The sequence below is a fragment of the Homo sapiens genome, chromosome 3 (assembly GCF_000001405.40).
Source record: "Homo sapiens chromosome 3, GRCh38.p14 Primary Assembly".
NCBI lineage: Eukaryota > Metazoa > Chordata > Mammalia > Primates > Hominidae > Homo > Homo sapiens.
Window position 1 is genome coordinate 193,241,025 of NC_000003.12, and position 25,003 is coordinate 193,266,027.

The following is a 25,003-nucleotide window of genomic DNA, read 5'->3' on the forward strand; positions in this document are numbered from 1 at the left end:
GTTGCGCGGCGCTTTGACCGTAGGCGCTGGAGCGCGTGCGTTGCGTGCGCGCGCGGAGGCGGCTGCGTCGGGGCGCGAGAAGGTGCAGTTCCCCGGCGGGCGGGCGGGCGGGCGGGCGAAGCTGGGCTCGGGGCCAAGCGAGGTCTAGCCGGAGCGACTGTGCCCCGCCTCCTGGGCGGAGCGGGCGGCTCCCCATGGTCAGAGCCTCGTGCCGGCTCGGCAGCGCCCGGACGCCGAGCCCAGCGCGTCGGCCCCCCGGCGTGCGGGCGTCTCAGAGCCGCGGAGGGGCCGCCGGGACCGTTTCAGCGTGGCGGCGCTGGTGCTGGCGTTGGCCCTGGAGGACGGCCCCGAGTGATGGCTGGCGCCTGCCTCCCGGGTGTCTCCCGGGTACAGATGGAGTCGTCCCGCGGCCGCCGGCGGCAAGGTCGGCAGCTGCGAGGCCAAGAGAGACCCCAGGACACACACAGCTGCCTCCCGGTGCGAGAAGAAGACCCCGGCTTGAGAGTGAGGTGTGCTGGGCGGAGTGGGGGAGGACCTCGAGGCGCCCCGGCAACCAACCGTGTTCTAACCAACTGGCAAGTGGGAAAAGTTGACATGACTAGAGAACAACGGAGCTTATCCACCCTCCTCTTTTTCACAGACTGGGGAACTCAGTCCACAGGGCAAGAGACTTTCTTCCCTAGGTTACACAGCTATTAAGTGGCAGAGCTGGGACTAGAAACCCAACCTGTTTAAGGCTTTTTAAGCCTACTGTCCTCACTGAAGTGAATATGAATAATAATACAAGTAATTATTATCGTATTGGATTTTGGAAAGTTGGATGGTGATATTCCTTTGGCATGCGAGACTATTAATATGACTCGTGCTGGAAAAAGTCACTCATGTTTTCTCTGGGCTTGGATTCCTCATTCCTTCATTCAATGAACATTTGCTCCGCAGTTACTTGTGCGAGGCACTCTCACCGGAGACTGAAGGTATAGAGCAAGCTTGTCCAACCCGTGGCTCACTAACCGCGTGCGGCCCAGGACAGCTTTGAATGCCGCCCAACACAAATTTGTAAATGTTCTTAAAACATTATGAGAGGTTTTTTTTTTGCGCTTTTTTTTTTTTTCTCATCAGCTATCATTAGAGTTAGTGTATTTTATGTGTGGCCCAAGACAGTTCTCCCAGTGTGGCTCAGGGAAGCCAAAAGATCGGACGCATGGTATAGAGAAAAACAAGAAGCATCCCTCCATAGCGTATGCCCCACAAGAGACAATTTCCCAGAGACCAGTAGCTGAGGCAGGTGTAGGAAGTGAATGGGCCATTAGATGGATGCCTGTGGAAGCTAAAGAAGGCGGATCGGAGGAAGACAATCCGACCTGGGGAGTGGAGGAGAGAGGGGGAGAAGGTGGCATCGACTTGGATTTTTTAAGATTGAGTCATTTGGGGCACTTGGAAATGGGCATTCTGGGTAGAAGGTTCAGTATTAACAAAAACAAAACAATACTCTTGAGTGGGAAGAATAATGGATAGTTTGATTTGCCTAGAATGTAGAGATTAATAAGGATGCCAGGATTCTAGGGCGGGGGACCAAGATGGGGAGTCAGTGGTGGGAAGCCCTGGAAGATTCCAAGCAAGGCATGACAGTGCTGTGGCAGCGGATAGTTAATTTGGCCAAGGAGTGGAACCCTCCTTTGTAGCGTGAGAGTGTTGGACCAAGGATCTTTGCAGCACTGAGAGTCTATGAATTAGCCAATCTGGGAATACAGGGCTTCATGGAAACATCACAGTGTAGGAGGATTATGGATGGAAAGTGCAGCTGGAATGGGAAAAGGTCGAAACCTAATTAGAAGCCTTGGGCCAGGGGTAGCCTGTGATCACCTGCGATTGTGTTTCAGACTTCCAGTAACATTCTTGGGAGTAGTTGTTAAAAAAGTGCTCTTCGTGTTTCTGTAACTTGGGTGGCCTCTTAGGCATGAGCAGACGTTCAGCCTGTCCCTATCGGCAGGGAACATTTATTTATTTTGATGCATCCCCAGGGACCAACAGAGAGCTATAAAGACAGCAGCCTGTTTTGCCAGTTGGCCAGTTGAAATGGGAAATTTCTTATACAAAGATTACAGACTTAACCTTCATGCCACTCTTTATTATAAACTGTTCATACAGTTCTTTGCAGATGGACTCAAAATGAAGCATTTTTTTACCTTAAAGATTGTAGTAGAGGATGTTATAAATGTGTCTTTAATTGGTTCTGTGTTTTCTCATACTTATGAAGCACTGCATTACACAATTTGTCTGAATGAAATTGGTAGATGTGGTCCATGTAAAACTTACCCAATCAGACAGGTTACAGATATTTGCCTAAAATCTGAGCCTGGGCACCTTAGAGATATTCTAACCTCACCCGGAAACTCCGCAACTGGAAAGGTGCAGGGATTCTGGAGCGAGGTTCCACTTCACATTATCTTCTGGTTCTGCATATGAATATTTAAAAACTTCCTGTGGTGTTATATGAAATATGTATTTGCATGCTTTTGCAGCTGCTCCATCTAATAGTATTTGAGAAGGGGAAAAAATGAAATGTTGCTTAGTAGAAATTCCTTTGGTTAATGATGTTAATCAATGGTATAAAAAAGGAGCATGAACTCTGGAATAAGAAGGGACACCTGAAATTGAATTCCAGTTGTGTCGCTTACTACCTGTGCGACTTTAGGTCTGGCACTTAACTCATCTGAGTCTCAGTTTCCTCATCTGTAAAATGGTCACCACAATAATCAGCTCGCAGTCTAACAGAACAACCTGTCACCACTAGAATCCCACTTGTTGGCCTTTTATAGCCACACCTACTTCCCTCCCACTGCCTCCTCCACTTCCTTAACTCATAGCAACCACTGTGTGTTCACTATCTTTTTAAATAATTGTATCATTTCAAGAATGTTATAAAAATGGAATGATATAGTGTGTGACCCTTTGGCATTGTGTGTTTTTATTTTTTCCACTAAGTATAATTCTCTAGAGGTACATTCAGGTTGTCGCATATGTCAATAGTTTTTTCCTTTATTCCTAAGTAGTATTCCATGGTAGGCCTGCACACAGTTTTTTATTTTTTAATTTTTTTAACCACCCTTTGAAGGTCATCTTGGTTGTTTCCACTTTTGGGATATGATGAATAAAGCTGCTATAAGCTTTTGTGTGCAGGTTTTTGGGTGGCTATAAATCTTCATTGTCTTTATTCTCAGGGGTAAATGCCTAGAAGTACAGTTGCTGGATTATATAGTAGTTACAAGCTAAACTTTTAAGGAAGTTGCCAGACTGCTTCCAGAGTAGCTACACATTCCCACCAGCAGTGAATGAGTGATCCAGTTAATGACAATGATGACTCTGCATCATTGTCAACATTTGATGTTGTCACTGTTTTTTATTTTAGCTATTCTGTTAGATGTATAATGATATCTCATTTTGTTTTTTTTTTTTAAATTGACAATGATTTATATTTATGGGGTACAACGTGATGTTTTAATCTATCCATACATTATAGAAATAATCAAACTAATGTATTAGTTCATTTTCTGTTATAACAGATTTATAACAGAATGCCAAAAACTAAGTAATTTATAAAGAAAATTAATGTATTTCTTATAGTTATGGAGGCTGAGAAATCCAAGGTCAAGGGACCACTTCTTGTGAGAGCCTTCTTGTTGGTGGAGACTCTGCAGAGTCCCAAGGTGGTACAGAGTATCACATGGTAAGGGGGCTGAGTATGCTACCTTGCTAGCTTAGGTCTCTCTTCCTGTGATAAAGCCACTAGTTCCCTTCCCATGATAATCCTTTAATCCATGAACTCCTTAATCCAGTAATCCATGAATAGATTAATCCATTCATGAGGACAGAGCTCTCCTGATCCAACCACCTCTTCAAGGCCTGCCCCACTTCTCAATACTACCACATTAGACATTCAGTTTCAACATGCATTTTGGAGGAGACAAACATTCAAACCATAGCACATATACATCATCTCACCAATTTATTATTTTTTGTGGTGGTGAGAATGTTAAAAATCTGTTTTAACAGTCTTGAAATATGCAGTACATTATTATGTGTGGTCAACATGCAGTGCAATAAATCACTAAAACCTACTTCTTCAGTCTAACTGAAACTTTTTACCCTTTGATCCACTTCTTCCCTTTCCTCATTTCTCTCTCTTCCCTTTAGCCTCTGGTAATGACCTCTGTACTCTATTTCTATGAGGTCAGCGTTTTTAGATTTCACACGTGAGATCATACTGTATTTCTCTTACGTTTCTGGCTTATTTCACTTAGCACAGTGTTCCTCAGTTCCATCCATGTTGTCACTAATGACGAAATTTCCTTTTTTAAAAGGCTGTATAGTTATTTCAATGTGTATATGTACCACATTTTTATCCGTTTATCCATTAATAGACACTTAGGTTGCTTCTGTATCTTGGCTATTATGAACAATGCTAAAATGAACATGAGGGTGCAGATATCTCTTCAACGTAATGGCTTCAGTTCATTTGGTTATATACCCAGAAGGATGATTTCTGGATCATATGGTAATTCTACTTTTAGTTTTTTAGGAAACTTCCATACTATTTTCCAAAATGGCTAAACCAATTTGCATTCCCACCAACGATATACAAGGGTTTCCTTTTCTCCACATCCTCACCAACACTTCTTATCATTTTTGGTAACAGCCCTTCTAACAAGCATGAGGAGATACCACATTGTGGCTTTAATTTGCATTTCCCTGATGATTAGAGATGTTGAGTATTTTTTCCATCTACCTTTTGGCTATTTGTGTCTCTTCTTTTGTAAAATGTCTGTTTAGATACTTTGCCAAGTTTTTAATTGACTTGTTTTCTTGCTATTGAGTTGTATGGATTCCTTATATATTTTTCATGTTAGCCCCATAGCAAATGTGCAGTTTACAAATGTTTTCTCCCATTTCATGTGCAAGGAGAATCCTAATGTCATCAACAAACAGAAATACACTTCTTCCATTCCTATATGAATGCCTTTTATTTCTTCTTCTTGCCTAATTGCTCTAGCTAGGACTTCCAGACTATGTTGAATAGCTGTGAGAGTGGGAATCACTGTTGTCTTTCTAATCTTACAGGAAAAACTTTCAACTTTTTACCATCGAGCATGATGGTGTCTGTGGGCTTGTCATATATGGCCTTTATTGTGTTAAGGTACATTCTTTCTATGCCTATTTTTTGAGAGTTTTGTAGCGTGAATGGGTGTTGGATTTTGTCAAATGTTTTTTCTGCATCTACTGAGATACTTGTGTGCTTTTTGTCGTTCATTTTGTTAATATGGTATATTTATTTATTAATGTATTTATTTATTTATTTTTGAGACAGAGTCTTACTCTGTCACCCAAGCTGGAGTGCAGTGGTGTGATCTTGACTCACTGCAACCTCCACCCGCATCGAGCTCAAGCTGTCCTCTCACCTCAGCCTCTCAAGTAGTTAGGACCACAGGCACATGCCACCATGTTAGCTTTTGGTATTTTTGTAGAGATGAGGTTTAGCCATGTTTCCTAGGCTGGTCTAGAACTCCTGGGCTCAAGATATCCATCTGCCTCGGCCTCCCAAAGTGCTGGGATTACAAGCATGAGCCACAGTGCCTGGCCCATATTTATTGATTTATATATGTTCACCCATCCTTGCATCCCTGGGATAAGTCCCACTTGATTATGGTGAGTGATCGTTTAAATTTACTGTTGAATGCAGTTTGCTAGTATTTTGTTAAAGATCTTTGCATTTGTGTTCATCAGGGATATTGGCCTGTAGTTTTCTTGGGGTGTTCTTGCCTGGCTTTGGTGTCAGGGTAATACTGGCCTCATAAAATAAGCTCTGAGGTAGTCCCTGTTTTATAATTTTTTGGAAGAGCTTGAGAAGGATTGGTATTTCTTCTTGAGCACTTAATGGGATTCACCTGTGAAGCCATCAGGTCCTGGGCTTTCCTTTGGTGGGAGATTGTTTATTACAATTCAATTTCCTTATTTATTATTGGTCTACTCAGATTTTCTGTTTCTTCCTGATTCAGTCTTGGGTTGCATGTTTCTAGGAATTCATCCATTTCTTCTGTGTTATCCAATTTCTTGGTATTTAGCTGTTCATAGTAGTCTTCTATGATCCTTTGTATTTCTGGGATGTTGAAAGGAGTTAGTTAGCTTGCTTTAGGCAGACAGTAAGTAAAGGATCCCCAGAGAACCTCTGACCCACCCCACAGGTGCTTACACCAGATATTTTGTGCAGATAAGGGAACTTGCACAGGGGGCTTGCCTAAACATGCCCACAGCACACTAAGGGCCCACATGCACACTGGAGGAATATGTGGAGCCACCAGAAATTCACGCCTTATACAGATAGGGAGCTCAGCCTCATCAGGTTATATATAAAGCCCTTGTATTCAGCTCTGAGGGGGCAATGACTAACCTGCTTTCAGGACCCCTCTCTTTGCTGAGAACATTCCTTTTGCTTAATAAATTCTACTCCAGTCACTCTTCAAGTGTCTGCGTGCCTAATTATTCCTGGTCATGAGACAAGAGCCCAGACCTAGCTGAGCTAAGGAGTAAAAAATCCTGCATCAATATCAGTTTCCTCTTTTTTTTGTCTCAAGATATTTTTAAATTTTCCTTTTAATTTTTTATTTGACTCATTGGTTGTTGAAGGGCATGTTATTTAATTTCCACATAGAGTTTTCCAAGATTCCTCCTGTTATTGATTTCTAGGTTTGTGCCATTGTGGTCAGAAGAAATACTTGATAAGATTTCAGTCTTCTTAAATTTGTTGAGATTTGCTTTGTGATATATCATATGATCTACCCTGGAGAATACTCCATGTGCAATTGAGAAAAATGTATATTCAATTGTTGTTGGATGAAGTTTTCTGTAAATATTTGTTAGGTCCATTTGGCTTAAAGTATAGTTCAAGTTCAATATTTCCTTGTTGATTTTTGGTCTAGATCTGTCCAATGTTGAAAGCGGGACATTATTGTATTGCAGTCCATGTCTCTCATCAGATCTATTAATATTTGCTTTATGTATTCGGTGCTTTGATATTGGGTGCATATATAATTGTTATATTTTCTTTATGAATTGACCCCTTCATCATTATATAATAACTTTTCATATCTTTCTGCAGTTTTTCACTTACAGTCTATTTTGTCTGATAGAAGTATAGCTACTCCCACTTTGTGTTGGTTTCCATTTGTGTGGAATATCTTTTTTCATCCCTTCATTATCAGCTTATATGTGTTCTTAAAGGTTAAGAGAGGTGAAGTTAATCTATTGTAGGCAGCATATAGTTGGGTCTTTTTTTTTAATCCATTGAACCATTCAATATGTTTTGACTGGAGAATTTAATACACTTACATTCAAAGTAATTATTGGTAGGTAAGAACTTACTATTGGTGTTTTGTTGTTTTCTGGTTAATTTGTAGATCTTTTGTTTTCTGTTTTCCTCTCTTGCTTGCTTCCTTTGCAATTTAATGATTTTTTGTAGTGGTATGCTTTGAATTCTTTCTTTTTATCTTTTGTGTATCTACTAAGAATTTTTCCTTTGTGGTTACTAGGAGGCTTACATAAAACGTCTTATACTAATGACAAGCTATTTTAAGCTTATAATTACTTCACTTTGATCACTTGTACAAACTCTAAACTTTTACTATCCCCTCCAACAATTTGTTTTTATTGACAATTTTTAAATAGTTTTTGGCATGTCCATTAGCAAAGTATAGTTGCTATATGTGTTTTGAATAGTTTTTCTTCTTTTAACCTTTATATTAGAGATATAATTTATTTTCATACTACAATTACAGTACAAGTGTTCTGTGTTTGACTATATACTTACTTTTACCAGTGAGTTTTTATTTTTATGTATTTCCATGTTGCTACTTAGTGATATTTTCCTTCAATGTGAAGTGCCCATTTTAGTATTTCTTGTAAGGCAGGTCTAGTTGTGATAAATTCCCTCAGCTTTTGTTTATCTGAGAAAGTTTTTTTTAAAGCTCCCCTTCTTCTCTTCCTTTTTGAAGGACAGGATTGCTGAGTGTAGTATTCTTGGTTGGCAGGGTTTTTTTTCTTTTAGCTCTTTGACCATATCTTATTCCCTTCTACCCTGCAGGGTTTCTGTTGAAAGATCTGATGGGGGTCCCCTTTTATGTAACAAGTTGCTTTTCCCTTACAGCTTTCCTATCTTCTCTTTGTCTTTAACTTTCCACAATTTGATTATAATGTATCTTGATTTGGTTTGCCTTGGATTCATCCTGTTAGATGTTTGTCAAGCTTCTGGATTTCTGTTTCCTTCCCTACACTTAGGAAGGTTTTCGCAATTGCAGTAGATTCTTGTTTAATGTTCATAGGTTCTTGGAAACTGCAACTTTAACCAAAATGATTTATAGCGGCTTTTGAATAACATCATTTTACTCAATGTCATTTCATTATGTTGATGAGAAAAAAATTCCTTTCATTATATGTTGTTTTGCTTTAAGTCAGTTTCCAAGGATCTATCAGTGACATTAAATGAGGACTTGCTATATGTCTTTGAATATATTTTCTGTCCCTTTCTCTCTTCCCTTTCTTGTACAACAATAATTCACATATTCTGTTTAATGCTGTCCACTAAGGCTGTTAGGCTGTTTCACTCTTTTTCATTCTTTTTTCTTTAAAAATCCTCAAATTATGATTTACCAATGACCCGTATTCAAGTTTGCTAATTCTTACTTCTGCTTGATTTATTCTACTGTTGAACCTCCTTATTGGTTTTTTCATTTCAGTTATATTATTATTCAGCTTGATGGTTTGTTTGGTACTTTTTAATATTTTCTGTCTCATCGTTGAAGTTCCCAGTTTTTTCATGCATTGCTTTCCCTACCTCAATAAAAATTGTTATGACTGCCCTTTTGAATTCCCTGTCAGATAAATCACATATTTACATTTCATTAGAGTCACTTTCTGGAGATTTAATTTATCTTGTTATTTTATTTGGAACATATTTCTATGTTTCTTCATTTTCCTCCGTTCCCTATGTTGTTTTCTGCACATTAGATAAAAGAACCACCTTTCTCAGTCTTGCTAGACTGGTCTTGTGTAGGAGATGTTCCTTTCCAATCAGCCTCTTCAAAGATTGTTAGAATCCACTAACCTCTTTGTGCTTGTAAAATCTGCTATTTTTTATTCTTATTGTCCCCCACCGCCAACCCAAATTAAAGTTTCAAGTCATTGCCTATGAGAGGTGGGATAGAAGCCAGTCCCTTGAAATGAAGCTGGAGAGACTGAGGTGTTAGTTGTGTGTTCCAGTTTCTTTTTTCTTTGCAGAGAAGCTTTGAGCAGAGTTTAATCTCCCACTCATTCTGCCCTATACCAAGGAGAATGTCTGAGGCGGATGCTTATACTCTTGATAGACTGCTCACATTGGACCTGGAGAGATTGCTGCTGAACATTTTCAAGTTAAAAAGCCACGTTTTTGTTCTTTGTTGTCTACGAGACTCAAAAATGAAGAACTCTGTCAACTCCCAGACTAGGAGCCTGTCTCTTGGGTGAAGGCTATAAAAGAGCACTCCGTGTGTATGGAAACTACTTCTGGAGAAAGTCTGCAGATCTGGATTTCTTGCTGGCACAAGCCAGAGGAAAAGGTGTAGAGGGAGTGACTGCTCTCCTGTCTGAACAAGCAGAAATCTCACACCCTCCTGGCAGGGAGAAACTTCTGGTCTAGAGTTATTACTAAAGCAAGCCATAGGGGAAGGTGCAAGGAGTGCCCACTTTCCCTTTCAGACATGAAGAAGCCCCTGCCCTGCCCTATCCCCCCCACCCCCGCACCTTTTTCCAATTGGAGATTAAAGGAGTTTATTTCCAGGGCAAGTCAAGGGAAAAGGTTTGGGAGTGCCATCCCTCCCATTCTTGTTGGCAGAGGTCTCCCAGTTTCTTTCAACAGAGAGATCTCTGGGCTGGATTGTTGCTGGAGCGAGCAGGGGAAAGAAGTGCAGTGAGTGCCTATCTCCTGTTCAAGCAAGAAGTCTCAGATCTTTTTTGCAGGTGGAGTCTTCTAGTCTGGAGTTATCACAGAAGCAAGCCAGGGAAAAAGATACAGGAATGCCCTTTTTGCTTCTCAGGCATGGAGAGATCCCCCAGCTTCACTCTCATGAGAGATTGCAGAAATTTATCTCAGGAGCAAACCAGGCAAGAAAGCATGTTCTTGCTGGCAGAGGCCTCCAGCCTCTTTTCCTTGAGAAATTGTAGGGCTGGAATTGTCACTAGAACAAACTAAGGAAAGAAGGTGGGAATGTTGTCCTTGTTTAGGCTTGAAGAGGTTTATTCTTTTTTTGCTATATAGGCTCCCAGATACCGGTGTATTACAGACCAGAACCACACTGAACTACTGGAAAAGAACATAGCCAAACCCTTTCCAGGGAGAGATTGGAAGCTGGGCTGATTCTGGGCACTACAGCAGCTGACAGAGCTTGCAAGGTGTGAAACCTCACTTTGTTTTTCGTGCTTGAGGGAAATCCTCCAATGCCTTTTCCATACTATTTTTCAGACACAGTGATTTAAGAGCCAAGCCCTTTTAAAGGGATGGTAAAAGTTGAACATTAGGTGTAAGACAGAAGCCCCTCACTCCTTGGGACCATGCTAGGAGTTGGGTTCCCTTCCTGATTATAAGGCTCTGTGCATAGGGTGGGGTTTGTAAATGAGTGTATCTCCACTTTTTCTACCAATTTTGATGTGGATATTTTCTTCTTTGTCTAGTGTGTAGGAGTCTTTCAGCTGGATTCTGCCTTTCTTTTGGAGATAATTGATCTGTGTGTAGGTGTTTCCTTAGTGTGTTTGTAGGAGAAGGGATAGTTAGGGAGCCTCCTATTACACCATTTTGCTGAGGTCCCCTTATTGTGGTTTTAATTTTGCATTTTCCTAATGACTAATGGCTTCCTTGACATCTATGTATTTTCTTTGGTGAAATTAGTCTGTTTGCATTACTATAAAGGAATATTTGAGACTGCGTAATGTATAAGGAAAAGAGATTTAATTGGCTCACAGCTCCATAGGGCGTACAGGATGCATGGTGCTGGTATCTGCTTCTGGTGAGGGTCTCAGGAAGCTTACAATCATGGTGGAATGCAATGGGGGACCAGGTGTACTCGATGAGAATGGGAACAAGGGGCGGTGGGAGGCACCACACTCTTTTAAACAACCAGATCTCTTGTGAACTCAGTCATCACCAAGGGGTTGGCATTAGCCATTCATGAGGGATCCACTCCCATGATCCACATGCTTCCCACCAGACCCCACCTCCAACACTGGGGATTACATTTCAACATGATATTTGGCAGTGATAAATATCCAAACCATATAACCTACATTCTAATTGTATTGTTTGCTTTTTTATTGTTGAGTTTGAGGAGTCCTTTATATGTTCTAGATACTAGTCCTTTCACAGATATGTGGTTTGCAAATATTTTCGCCCACTCTGTAGTCTGTCTTTTCATCTTAACAGGATCTTTTGTAGTACAAAAGTTTTTAATCTTAAGGACAATCAATTTACCAATTTTTCCTGGTAAGGATCATACTTTTGGTATCAAGTCTGGGAACTCTTTGTCTACCCTAGACCCTAAAAATTTTTCTCCTATGTTTTTCTCTATATTTTATAGTTTTACATATAAGTCTGTTATCCATTTTGAAATAATTTTTGTATGAAGTATGAAATTTAGGTCAAGGTTTGTTTATTTGTTTGTCTATGGATGTCTAATTGTTTCAGCACCAATTGTCAAAAATCTTTTATATAATAGTGTATGACCTTGACCAGTTAAACTACCTGCCTGGTTTTGTTTCCTTTGTCTAAAAATGAGGAGATTGGACTAGGACTAGATGGGTATCATTTAAGCTGCATTCCTGGAAGTTCTGGGGTCCCAGGAAGCCTCAATAGGAGCAGCAATGTGGGTGAGCGGTGAGTAGGGCTCTCATGTTGTCCCTGACTTCATTCAGGGCAGTGCTGCTTTTTAGGTTTTATATTTTTATGGTTCTATTTGATATGTGTTTTGACATGGTACCCACTGCTGCAAACAAGTTTGGAGACCATTAGATTAGATAATATCTGAAGTACCTTTCTGTAGTCCCTTGCTATGATTCTAAGTGTTCAGTATCATAACTCACTTTTTAAGTTGCATATTAGCCTTCAGCTTCCTCTGTTAGTATCTTGAGGGGTTACTCTTATGAAATCTTATTTCTCTTTATAAATATGATAGACTTTATGAAATCAATTAACTTAACAGTTTATGAATCAATTTATATGTCAAATTGAAAATTTGTTAAATATATTAGAATTTTACAGTTGAATCATTTATTTCACAGAATTATCATGCCTGGAAGAGAGCATAAGGAACTAAAATCCTACATAAACCATGTACCAATCTCAATGTCTCTCTTATCATCCACCTGTCTGGCTCTTGCCAATTCACAGGGCATTTGCAACAGTTTTTTTATCAGCTCCCAAAGGGTTACTTGCGACAGCTTTTTACCAGCTCCCTAAGGGTTACTTGCAGCAGCTTTTTGAGATAAACAAAATCAGGCTTATATGCCCATACCTATTTTCAACATGAGGAAACAGACTAAGTTCCAGTGACCTGCCCAAAGTTAGAGAACTAACAAGTATCAAGTAGAAGACTAAGAGAAGAGCTCACATCAGTAACACCTAGTCAAGTTATTTTCCCTTTGTTTTATATATTAGGGTTTCAGTGGGTATTTTCCAAAAGTTGATATTTGCTACTTTAGCTTTTTATCTATAAAGTGGGATGATAACATAACACACTCAAATAGTTGCATGTTTTTTCTTTTTTTCAATTAAATAGGGTAGAGATAGTGCATTTGAAAAAAAATTGCACTAGAAAGTGCTCCCCGTTCAAATGGTGGTTATTATTTTATACTTTGGCTGCATCTCGGAATCATAGCAGGCAGCTTTGTGTGTTTGCTGATTCCTATTCATGGGAAATGTGTTTGTTTATATCACAGTGTATTATCTATTTTTCCTTTTAATACCCATGTGGCCAAATTACGAACTGCCATATTAATAAGATGCAAACATATTTGAGAGGGTGGTTAGACTTAATCGTTTTCATAAAGTTGTTTTAATAGTTGTTTTTCAACAGATGGACAGCTTACATTTGGCCACGTTTCTGTGACAGTGTGATGATTGAACTTTTCAACAGATGGCATACAAACACTTGGGAAAACACCCTTCTAACATTAATTGTTATAAAAAAGACTTTTAGAGTGCCAGAAAAATGATAGTCTGTATTCCCAAGTCCTTAGTCTCTGCTATTATAATTTAGATGATTTGGAAGTTTCTATTTCTGGCATGTGGATTTGTTTCATAAATGAGCATATATATCTGCATTAGAGTGAAATGATGAGGAACACCCTGTTGTCAATTAGAGATTCAACATAGATACAGCATTTAAATCCTCCTTTGTTTGTTGATAGATGTACATAATCTCCTCTTGCTGAGTCATTCTACTTCTATTCCATACATAGAAAATATAACCTTTCATAAGAATCAACTGTCAGATACTTATGTATTCTTTCTAAAAAGTATTGACTTAAAAAAAATTACCAAACTTAGAATTTCAAACATGTTCATCAATGTGATGAACTCACCAGCTTTCCAAGTTGTCCTGCGTCTGCTGTTGACCACCTAGCATGGCTTCTGGAATCGGTAAGTGAGGAATCTGACAATAAATGGGGCAGGAAGGAGAGTCATGAAAATCTGTGATGGCATTTATGATTGTTACAATGACAAAGGGCATTTACTGATATTTAGTGGGTGCAAACCAGAGTACCTATACATGCTACACTACACAGTATAGTTTTAAACAAGAAAGAAATGTTCCATGTCCTACATTAATTTGAACATCTGGCTGGACATCCATCTGAGCCTGGAACCCAACTTTGCTTAAATGAAATGACAGAGTAGGTTTTGTAATATATGGCATTTTTGCAGAGTTTTAGTACTCACAAAATATTAAATGTTAGCATCCACCCCTACCTCTGCTTCTTGATTTTACTATACTGCTGTATAAAAGGTTGAAAGACTTCTGATCTGATTTTATTGCTCCTGAATTCTGACTTTTTCATGCTAAATAAGTGCAAGCATATAAACCCTTTTTTATATCCTTTAGTATAGTCATAGACTGAACATTTACTTAGTAAACAGATATTATATGTTTACTTTCCTATTTCCCCTTTTTATCCTAAATAGACCATTTTTTAATATTTAATCCTTGATATTTTTAAAATCTGTGTAAGTTATATTATCCAGGGATTTCTAGATTTAAAGAGAAAATTACAGAATGCTTGTTATTATAAAGGGGCTCTGAAATTGATCGGGATGAGAAGCATTACTATAGAAAATTAAGTAATACAAGACAAATTATTTCTCTACTTGTCCCCTTGTGCACACATCAGTGTTGGAATCATTCAAAGAAAAGGACAGGGTCGTGATTCTAAGTCTTTAATATAGAATGCAGTCTCAATAAATTCTGTATCATTCTGCTTTTATGGATGTCTTAAACTGATTTTCTTTTGGCAAGTTGTATTAGCTAGCTCTTCTTTGTATTTGTCATTGCAGATGGCGTTTAATGATTGCTTCAGTTTGAACTACCCTGGCAACCCCTGCCCAGGGGACTTGATCGAAGTGTTCCGTCCTGGCTATCAGCACTGGGCCCTGTACTTGGGTGATGGTTACGTTATCAACATAGCACCTGTAGGTGAGGTTTATTTCCAGTGGCTCCTGGGAGCAAAGTTTTAGTGTTCTTGTTACAGGAAGTAATCATGGGTGAAATAATAAACAAAACAAAATCGAAATAAAATATAGAAAGCAGATAAATCCAACTAATCTAGGTTTAGAGAAGGATATTCTAAAACCAAAGCAGCATTGAAGAAATCACAAAGGCCAATTCACATGAAATTTTAAAACCTCTGGATTTAAAAAATCACAATTAAAAAGTAAATAACCAGCTGGGGAAAATATTTGCCACAAACATGGCAAGGTTCAGTGTCTTTATGTTTCACACAAATAGGTTATTTCAATTTATTCAACACCTATTTATAGATCACCTAGTATGTTCTGAATGCTATTCTAAGTGCTGGGGGTATACAGACGTCTCCCTGCATGGTGGAGTTTACATTTTAGTAAGCAGGGACAGACCATGAGCAAGTTACAGAAATGTTAAAATTGTGATAAGTGATACAGAAAAAATAAGAAGGTAGGATGAGAAGTGCTGAGGGCAGAAGGTGGTGGGTGCAGATGCTGTGATTTTAAATGAAGTGGTCAGGAAAATTTCTTAAGAAAGTGACATTTGAGGAAAAATGTAAAAGAGGTAAAGAAACCGGTCAGATGCTCTCTAGAGATATAGTATCCCAGGTCAAGGGGACAGCAGACACTAAAACCTCAACAAACAAATGGATAAAGAATTAGGAACAGTTTGTAAAAGAAGAAAAGCAAAAGCTAATACACCTTTTGAAAAAATTTCAACTTTCTGGCCTAGGAATTGTAAAATAAACCAATAAAATATTTCATACCTATCTCATTAGCAAAGGTTAAGTGATAACGATCAGTGTTGATAAGAATATAGTGAAATGAACATAAAGGTATTGTTGATGGTAATATAAATTGATAAGGGCTAGGACCTTAAAAGGGTTCGTATCCTCTGACCCTGTAATTGTACTTCTAGGAATCTATTCTGGGGAAATATTTAGAGATGTAGACAAGCATTTCTGTGTAAGGATATTCACTTCTGTGTCATTTATAATGGTTAAAGTAGACAATGGCATATTTTCAATAGGGGAATGGTTAAATGAATTAAGATTTAGCCATATGATATTAGTTATCAAATATTCTTTACTGAGAAATCTTCATTGCATCATGGAGGGAAACTGCAGAAAGAGCTGAGGTGGTGCCGGCCTCAGAGATGCCTATATTTAGGGGTTTAACCACTATTTAGACTCTCTGTCACACATCTGCATTTTTTTCTATGTGCTGTCTTCATTTCCCCGGACTATGTCTCTTTAAAAAACTAAACTGATGACCATAAGCAGCTTTAGGTTCTGACTCTTAGGTTCTTTTGATCCAACACGAAAGAGCTAACTGTAACTACCTGTTACAGTTAAAGAATCACGGAGACAGACTCCAATCACTCCAGTGTGAGCCCCATGTTCATCGCTGGACTATCACTGTGCCCAAGAGAATGGAATACTGTGATTGGCTCAGACACAATTGTTTCCAGGAATAAATAGGCAATGGTGGGATTTGGTGCTGGATAGATATAAATAACAGCATCCATAACAGCCATTAAAAGTCTTATATCTGGACATGTTTTATTGCAGGGAAGATGGTCTTAATATGATATTTATTTGAAAAAGATTAACCACATGCTTAGTCATAAAGCAAGTCTCAATAAAGTCAAAAAAACTGAAATCATACCAAGCACACTCTTGAACCACAGTGCAATAAAAACAGAAATGAATACAAAGAAGATTTCTCAAAACTATACAAAAACATGGAAATTAAACAGCTTGGTCCTCAATATCGATGAGTGATGCTTAATATCTAGTGTCAACATGATTGGATTGAAGGATGCAAAGTATTGTTCCTGGGTGTGTCTGTGAGGGTGTTGCCAAAGGAGACTAACATTTGAGTCAGTGGGCTAGGAGAGACAGACCCACCCTCAATCTGGGTGGGCACCATCTAATCAGCTGCCAGTGAGGCTAGGATAAAAGCAGGCAGAGGAACGTGGAAAAATTACACTGGCTAAGTCTTCTGGCCTCCATCTTTCTCCCATGCTGGATGCTTCCTGCCCTTGAACATCCGACTCCAAGTTCTTAAGCTTTTGGATTCTTGGACCTACACCAGTGGTTTGCCAGGGACTCTCAGGCCTTTGGCCACAGACTGAAGGCTTCACTGTCAGCTTACCTACTTTTGAGATTTTGGGACTCGGACTGGCTTCCTTGCTGCTCCACTTGCAGATGGCCTATTGTGGGACTTCACCTTGTGATCGTGTGAGTCAATACTCCTTAATAAACTCCCTTTCATATATACATCTATCCTATTAGTCCTGCCCCTCTAGAGACCCCTGAAGAATACAGGTGGAAAATGAAATGAGGGCAGAAATCAAAAAGTTATTTGAAATTAATGAAAATAGAGACACAACTTACCAAAATCTTTGGGATGCGCCTAAATCAATGTTAAAAGGAAAGTTTATAGCACTAAGCACTGTCATTAAGAAGTTAGAAGGAGCTCAGATTAACAACCTAATATTGCACATAGTGGAACTAGGAAAAAAAGAACAGACCAACCCCAAGCTAGCAGGACAAAATAAATCTAAAATTGGAGAAAAACTGAAAGAAATGGAGATACAAAAATCCATGCAAAATTAACAAAACAAAGAATTTGTTTTTTGAAAGGATAAATGATTGATAGATTGCTATCTAAATTAACAAAGGAAAAAAGATCCAAAGAAGTACAATCGGAAATGACAAAAATGACATTATAACCAGTCCTACAGAAATACAGAAGGTCCCTAGAGACTATTATGAACACTTCTATAATACAATTTAGAAAATTTAGAGGAAATGGACAAATTTTGAAACATACAACCTTTCAACATTGAACCAGGAAAAAAGTGAAAACCTGAGAAGACCAATAACAAGTTCCAAAATTGAATCAGTAACAATAATAATAATAAAAAAACTACCAACCGAAAAAAGCCCTGGAGCAGATGGATTCACAGCCAAATTCCAGGAGGTGTACAAAGAACTGGTACCAATCCTACTGAAACTACTCCAAAAACCCCAGGAGGAGGGGCTCCTTCCTAACTCATTCTATGAAACTAGCATCATCCTGATACCAAAATCGGAGAGACACACAAAAAAAGAAAACTTCAGGCCAGTATTCCTGATGAACATAGATGCAAAAATCCTCAACAAAAGACCAACAAACCAAATTTGGCGCACATCAAAAAGTTAATTCATAATCAAGAAGGCTTTATTCCTGAGGTACAAGATTGGTTCGACATACACAAATCCATAAATATGATTCACCACATAAACCAAGTGAAAACCAAAAACCATATGATCATCTCAATAGATGCATTTGATTAAACACAACATCCCTTCATGTTAAAAACCCTGAAGAGAATAGGCATTGAAGGAACATAACCTCAAAATAATGAATCATTTATGAGACACCCACAGCCAACATCATACTGAATGGGCCATTCCCCTTCAGAACTGAAGCAAGATAAGGGTGTTCACTCACACTATTCCTGTTCAACATAGTACTGGAAGTTCTAGCCAGAGCAGTGAGGCAAGAGAAAGAAATAAAAGGCATCCAAATAGGAAAAGAGTAAGTCAAATTACCTCTTTTTGCTGAATATTTCATTCTGTACCTAGAAAGCCCTACAGACTCCACCAGAAGCCTCCTGGAACTGATAAACAACTTCAGTAAATTTTTAGGATACAAAATCAGTGTACAAAAATCAGTAGCATTTTTATACACCAGTAACATTCTAGCTGAGAGCCATATTAAAAACACAATTCATTTACAATAGCCACAAATAAATAAAATACCTAGGAATACATCCAACCAAGAAGGTGAAAGATCTCTACAAGGAGAACTATAAAACACTGCTAAAAGAAATCAGAGATGAGACAAATAGATGGAAAAACATTCCATGCTCACGGATTGGAAGAAATAATATTAAAATGTTCATATTGCCCAAAGCAATCTACAGATTCAACACTATTTCTATCAAGCTACCAATGCCATTCTTCACAGAATTAGAAAAAATATTCTAAAATTTGTATGGAACCAAAAAAGAGCCCAAGTAGCAAAAACTAAAAAAAAGCTGCAGGCACATTACCCAACTTCAAACTCTACTAGAAGGCTATAGTAACCAAAACATCATAGTACTGGTACAAAAACAGACACACAGACCAAGGGAACAGAATAGAGAACCCAGAAATAAAGCCAAGCACATAAAACCATCTGATCTTCAACAAATTCAACAAAAATAAGCAATGGGGAAAGGTCTTCCTATTCAATAAATGGTGCTGGAATAACTGGCTAGCCATATGCATAAGAAAAAAAACTGGACCTCTGCCTTTCACTATGTACAAAAATTTACTCAAGATGGACTAAAAGTTTAAATGAAGAACTCAAACTATAAAAGTCCCAGAAGAAAACCTAGGAAACACTCTTCTTGACCTCAGCTTTGGCAAATAATTTATGTCTAAGTCTCCAAAATGAATTGCAACAAGAACAAAAATGACGAGTGAGACCTAAGTAAACAAAAGAGCTTCTGCACAGCAAAAGAAATTATCAACAGAGTAAATAGTCTACAGAATGGGAGAAAATATTCATAAACTGTGCATCTGACAAAAGTCTAGTGCCCAGAATTTACAAGGAATTTAAATTAATCAACATGTAAAAAATAATCTAATTAAAAAATGGGCAAAGACAGGAACAGACACTTCTGAAAAGAAGACATTCAGGCAACCAACAAACCTATGAAACAATGCTCATCATCACTAATCATAGAAATGCAAATCAAAACCACAATGAGATACCATCTCACATCAGTCAGAATGGTGATTATTAAAAAGTCAAAAAAAAAAACAGATGCTGGTGATGTTGCAGAGAAAAGGAAATGTTTATACACTGTTGGTGGGAATGTAAATTAGTTCAGCCACTGTGGAAAGCAGATTGGAGATTTATCAAAGAGCTTAAAAGAGAACTACCATTTGATCCAGCAATCCTATTACTGCATATATATCCAAAGGAAAATAAATTATTCTACCAAGAAGACACATGTACTTGAATGTTCATCACAGCATTATTTGCATAGGAAGGACATAGAATCAGTCTTATTCAAAATATTACTAGCAGTTACTTCTGGGTGGTGGGATAATGGGTGATTCCTGTATACATTTAAATGCTTTGTTTTTCTGTATTTTATAAATGTTTAAAAATGAGCACAAATTAATTTATTAACAAAAAGTGTATGCAGACCAGGCGTGCTGGGTCACGCCTGTAATCCAGTACTTTGGTAGGCCAAGGCAGGCAGATCAGTTGAGGTCAGGAGTTCAAGACCAGCCTGGCCAACATGACGAAACCCTGTCTCTACAAAAAATACAAAAATTAGCCAGGTGTGGTGGCAGGCACCTGCAATTCTAGCTACTCAGGAGGCTGAGGCAGGAGAATCACTTGAGCCTAGGAGGTGGAGGTTGCAGTGAGCTGAGATTGGGCCACTACACTCCAGCCTGGGCAACAAAGCAAGACTCCATAAAAAAAAAAAAAGTGTATGCAGATAACAAATAAATAACCTGGAGTATTTTCCTCAGGTTATGTTTAAAGAGAAGTATTTATAGACCTAAGTTTTATTATCTTGGGAACTTCTGAGACTTTTTAATGAAGTGGTTTTTTGCAACATTTTAAAGTATTTGCCTCTTGTTTTAGAATATTATAAGTGAAAATGACAAATAAAATGATATTTATGATTCAGAGCTTCCAGAGTCTAGTGGTTAATACTAAGCAACCCTCTACATCTACATTATCTCTGCAGTTTTCATACCTGGAAAATAATATGAGATTTTCATGCTGTTTTCTTATTATCATGCCTTAAATTCCATATTATTGTGGTTTGAGCGTTCAGGTTTGATCCTGTAGATTGATATTCAATTATGTTGTTAACTACTGTGATACATTTTCCAAGCCAGTTTACCTCTCCAAATTTTAATTTTCTAATTTTTGCATGTGGTTATTAAAAATATGTTTAGTAAGTCTAACTGGGATATATATGCTCTGAGGACTTGTAATGTGTGAGAACTTGCAATGTGTAAGATGTTCACTGGAACATCTCACATTCCGTGAGAAGGAGGACAGACAGAAGGATAGTGGAAAATAAGTTTTGCTTTCAGTCATTACTAAAAGAGAAAGTTTCTAAACACTAGTTATGTGGAGACTCTCTCTCATGATTGACCTGAACATGGCCAAGCACAGCAGTTGTGGGCAGTTTGACAAGGACTGGAGCCTGGCTTTAGACCTGTACCCTGAGGAATCATCTGTCCAACCTCAAGTACTGACATTGTCAGGCCAAAGATATAGTAGTTCCTGGCAGACTAGGCAAATGCTTATGAGCAGAGGCAGCCAAGGTGGAGTGGTAGGGCATGGGGCATTGTCGTAAGTGGGTAGGTCACTGCCTGGGGCCATGTCTGGTAGACAGTGCCTACCAAGTTAGCTTCAGGCTCAGGACTTAGGGGGCTTTTTTTTTTTTTTTTTCTGGCCAAAGGAACTGGCAGGAAAAAAGCAGGGCCCCAGCCTGACTTCAGCCATCCTATCACAGGACTGAGGTACCATGCGGGTTTCGGAATAGGAAATTGGACCCCAAATTGATGCCTAGTTGAAAAACAAGTTTCAGACGCTTAGGGAGCTTAGATACTAGGATGAGCCTACTAATAACAGTGTACCCTACAGTATTAATTTGGAAGGGTTCAGATGCTCAGCAAAAAACTGCCTTATAGAAAAAGTGGACAATAATCTTATCTGTATCTATGTTAGACACACATACCAACATCTCTAATAATATAATACCAATCTACAGAGAATTTATTTTCCAAGGATGAGTAGCGTATTCTCATCCAATTTGTTCTATGGGAACATCAAACATTTTCAAAAAGTTTTTCTTATATTCTCACTCATACAATAGTAAGTGTTACTGCTAAGTTATAGAATAACTGCTTAAGGCTGATGAGATTAAATGACTTTGGTTTGATAATAAGTTAGGAACAGGGCTAGGTTTAGACATGCCAGCATTTCCAAAGTCTTTAGATGGCAGTAGAGTTCATTGGACTGGGTCACTATACCTTACTAACCAGAATTCTACTTTATAGATGGCATTCCTGCGTCCTTTACAAGCGCCAAGTCTGTATTCAGCAGTAAGGCCCTGGTGAAAATGCAGCTCTTGAAGGATGTTGTGGGAAATGACACATACAGAATAAACAATAAATACGATGAAACGTACCCCCCTCTCCCTGTGGAAGAAATCATAAAGCGGTCAGAGTTTGTAATTGGACAGGAGGTGGCCTATAACTTACTTGTCAACAACTGTGAACATTTTGTGACATTGCTTCGCTATGGAGAAGGAGTTTCAGAGCAGGTAAGTTTTCTTTAGGAGATATTCTTACATTGAGAAAAGAATAACTATTGGCTATGATAAGGTTCCCAGGCCTCAAACCAAATGAAAAGAACCAGAAAATACGAGAATACTGAAGGATAGAGAATGGACTTGAGTTGTCCAAGGTCCTGCAACAAGTTAATAACCAAACTGAGACTAAAACATGAATATTATGAATTTTGAGCTATAAGGGACTTGAAGTAGAATCAAGACAATAGCATTCTGTCAATCTTACTGCCTTTTAGTCTTTTTTTCCTGTTACTTCACCATACAGCAGTTTCAAATTGGTGATCTCATATACTGAAAAGAATATGCTAGAAAGGATGTTGAGCTTTTTGAATGGGAGTTTATTTACCAGTATCACAAATGGTTATTCTTAAATTATTTTTCATTGGTGGACAGAGGCTAACTAATGACATATCTTAGTGGGCTTGTGAATGTTTTCTTTTTCCTTGCAATTGCTAATTTCAATGAAATTTTGTGCCTTTAAGTAGATCCTTTGATTCACTGAGCTTTTGGATGACTTTTGATAGATTAATTGACTTTATTTTTAAAGTACTTTACAATTTTTGTCAGTTACTACCATTGTTTTGTAGTATGACAAATTTCTAGCTAACAGCATGTTCGTCTTTTCCCTACCTGTTGTCCTGTTGTCCCACCAGTCCAGTAAACTAAAAATGAATATTAAGGTGATAAAAGAGAATGGATATATAAAACTATTATCAAAAGAAAGTCCTCTTCATCCAAAATACATATAAAAGTGTTCATTTAAAATATTAAAATATGAAAAATAATTTAATAGATTGAACTCCAGGGAGTTGTTACCTATGAAAACTTTTTAAAAGGCAACTAAAAATTTGAAGGATAATACCATAATATTTTAATAATTCACATTTATTGAAGACTTCCAGTATTTTGAAATGGTGGATCAGTTATACATTTCTATCCTAAGTAAGAAATGAGGTTATAATTCTTCTCACAAAAGCTTGGAAAAATGTCATCTATAAGAAGGCTAGCAAAGCCTCGTGTTATTTAAACGCTGCACCTCTTGAGCCTAATTTTTCAAAATCCTACTTATCCTGCCCTATACCCAAGATTCAAATTTATTGTGGTTTTGATTTGCATTTTCCTGATGGCTAATGATGTTGGGCATCAATTTATGTGCTTATTGGCCATTCGTATATCACCTTTGGAGAAATGCCTATTAAGATTATTTGCCCATTTTTTTGTTGTTGTTGTTTGTTTCTTCTTCTTCTTCTTTTTTTTTTTAGATGGAGCCTTGCTCTGTTGTCCAGGCTGGAGTGCAGTGGCACGATCTCAGCTCACTGCAACCTCCGCCTCCTGGGTTCAGGCTATTCTCCTGCTTCAGCCTCCCAAGTAGCTGGGATTACAGGCATCTGCCACTATGCCTAGCTAATTTTTTGTATTTTTAGTAGAGACTATGTTGGCTAGGCTGGTCTCATGTTGGCCAGGCTGGTCTCAAACTCCTGACCTCGTGATCCACCCGCCTTGGCCTCCCACAGCGCTGGGATTACAGGCGTGAGCCACCGTGCCCAGCCTATTTGCCCGTTTTTAAATTGGATTATTTGCCTTTTTATTGTTCAGTAGTAAGTTTTCTTTATGTACTTTGGATACTGGACTCTTTTTAGATACGTATCTAGAATACATATTTTTCATCAGGGAAATGCAAATCAAAGCCACAATGAGATTTCGCTTCACACTCAATACGATTGCTATAATACAAAAGATAGTAAGTGTTGGCAAGGAAGTGAAGAAATTGGAACTCTCTTGCCCTTCTGGTAGGCATGTAAAATGATATAACTGCTTTGGAAACCATTCTGGCAATTCCTCTAAAATTAAATGTAGAATTACTGTATGACTCAGCTATTGTAATCCTAGGTATATATCCAAGATAAATGAAACACATGTCCACGTGGAAACCTGCACATGAATGTTTATAGCAGCATTGTAGAAATAACTCAAATATCCATCTAATGGGCAATGGATAGACAAAATGGGGTATATCCATACAATGTAATATCTTTCAATAATAAAAAGAAATGAAGTACTCATACATGCTACAGTATGGACCTTGAAAACATTATGCCAAGTTGCCTACTTAGCCAATCACAAGAGACTACATATTATATTATTTCATCGATATGAGATGCCTAGAATAGGGAAATCTATAGAGACAAAATAAATTAGTGGTTGCCTGGGGCTGAGGTGGTTGAGGTAAATCAGGGGAGACTGCTAAAGGGTAAGAGGTATCTTTTTGGAATGATGAAGTGTTTCAAAATTGTGATTGTTGCACAAGTCTATGAATATACTAAAAAACATTGAACTACATTATTTCAGTGGGTAAATATATGGTGTGCTAATTAGATCTCAAAATTTTTTTTTAAATAAAAAGGTTTGGGAAAATGGGAGATAGAACATAATGAAAGGATATATTTATTTTCATTAGGAAATAATTGGAAATTCATTCTCATTAGGAAATGTATTAACATAATGAATGTTCTGCTCACATGTAACAATAAATTGCTTTTGAGCTAGAACATAGAGGGTACACACAAATTCCTGCTCACTTTTGCGTTGAAAATTAGTGGTGTAGATAGGAAATAGGTTCCATTCCTCTTCTTCTTTGTTAATGACAAAGTTGTTCACTGCACTAACCAAGCAATTTTTATTTGTTTACTTATTTTATTTTTGGAAATGAGGAGATGTTAGTCAAAGGGTAGAAAATTTCAGTTACGCAAGACAAGTTCTGAAGA

The 25,003-nt window shown here is 38.2% G+C and overlaps 1 protein-coding gene and 1 long non-coding RNA gene across 8 annotated transcripts in view, besides 1 other annotated feature; both read left to right on the forward strand.

The window, feature by feature from the left end:
* Positions 1 to 25,003, forward strand: part of PLAAT1 (phospholipase A and acyltransferase 1) — a 40,821-nt gene that overhangs the window by 419 nt on the left and 15,399 nt on the right. For 3 of the 7 annotated variants that reach the window (XM_011513035.3, XM_011513034.2, NM_020386.5), the window contains exons 1-3: positions 198 to 509; positions 14,627 to 14,765; positions 21,946 to 22,211. In XM_011513035.3, the coding sequence (XP_011511337.2) occupies positions 14,627 to 14,765; positions 21,946 to 22,211 (405 nt within the window). In that variant the 5' untranslated portion in view covers positions 198 to 509. Of the gene's footprint in view, positions 1 to 197; positions 975 to 10,342; positions 10,477 to 13,659; positions 13,715 to 14,626; positions 14,766 to 21,945; positions 22,212 to 25,003 lie in introns of those variants that run through there. The other 4 variants (NM_001366112.1, XM_047448624.1, XM_047448626.1 and 1 more) reach the window with 4 other exon arrangements.
* Positions 100 to 349: a silencer, noted in NCBI's record as "silent region_15008". NCBI's record gives its function as "represses an Ori minimal core promoter by ATAC-STARR-seq in GM12878 lymphoblastoid cells {active_cell/tissue: GM12878}" and the evidence as "EXISTENCE:reporter gene assay evidence [ECO:0000049][PMID:35858748]".
* On the forward strand, positions 755 to 2,948 carry MGC2889 (uncharacterized protein). The gene has a single exon (NR_026877.1). It is a non-coding gene; the product is annotated as an uncharacterized protein MGC2889 (long non-coding RNA).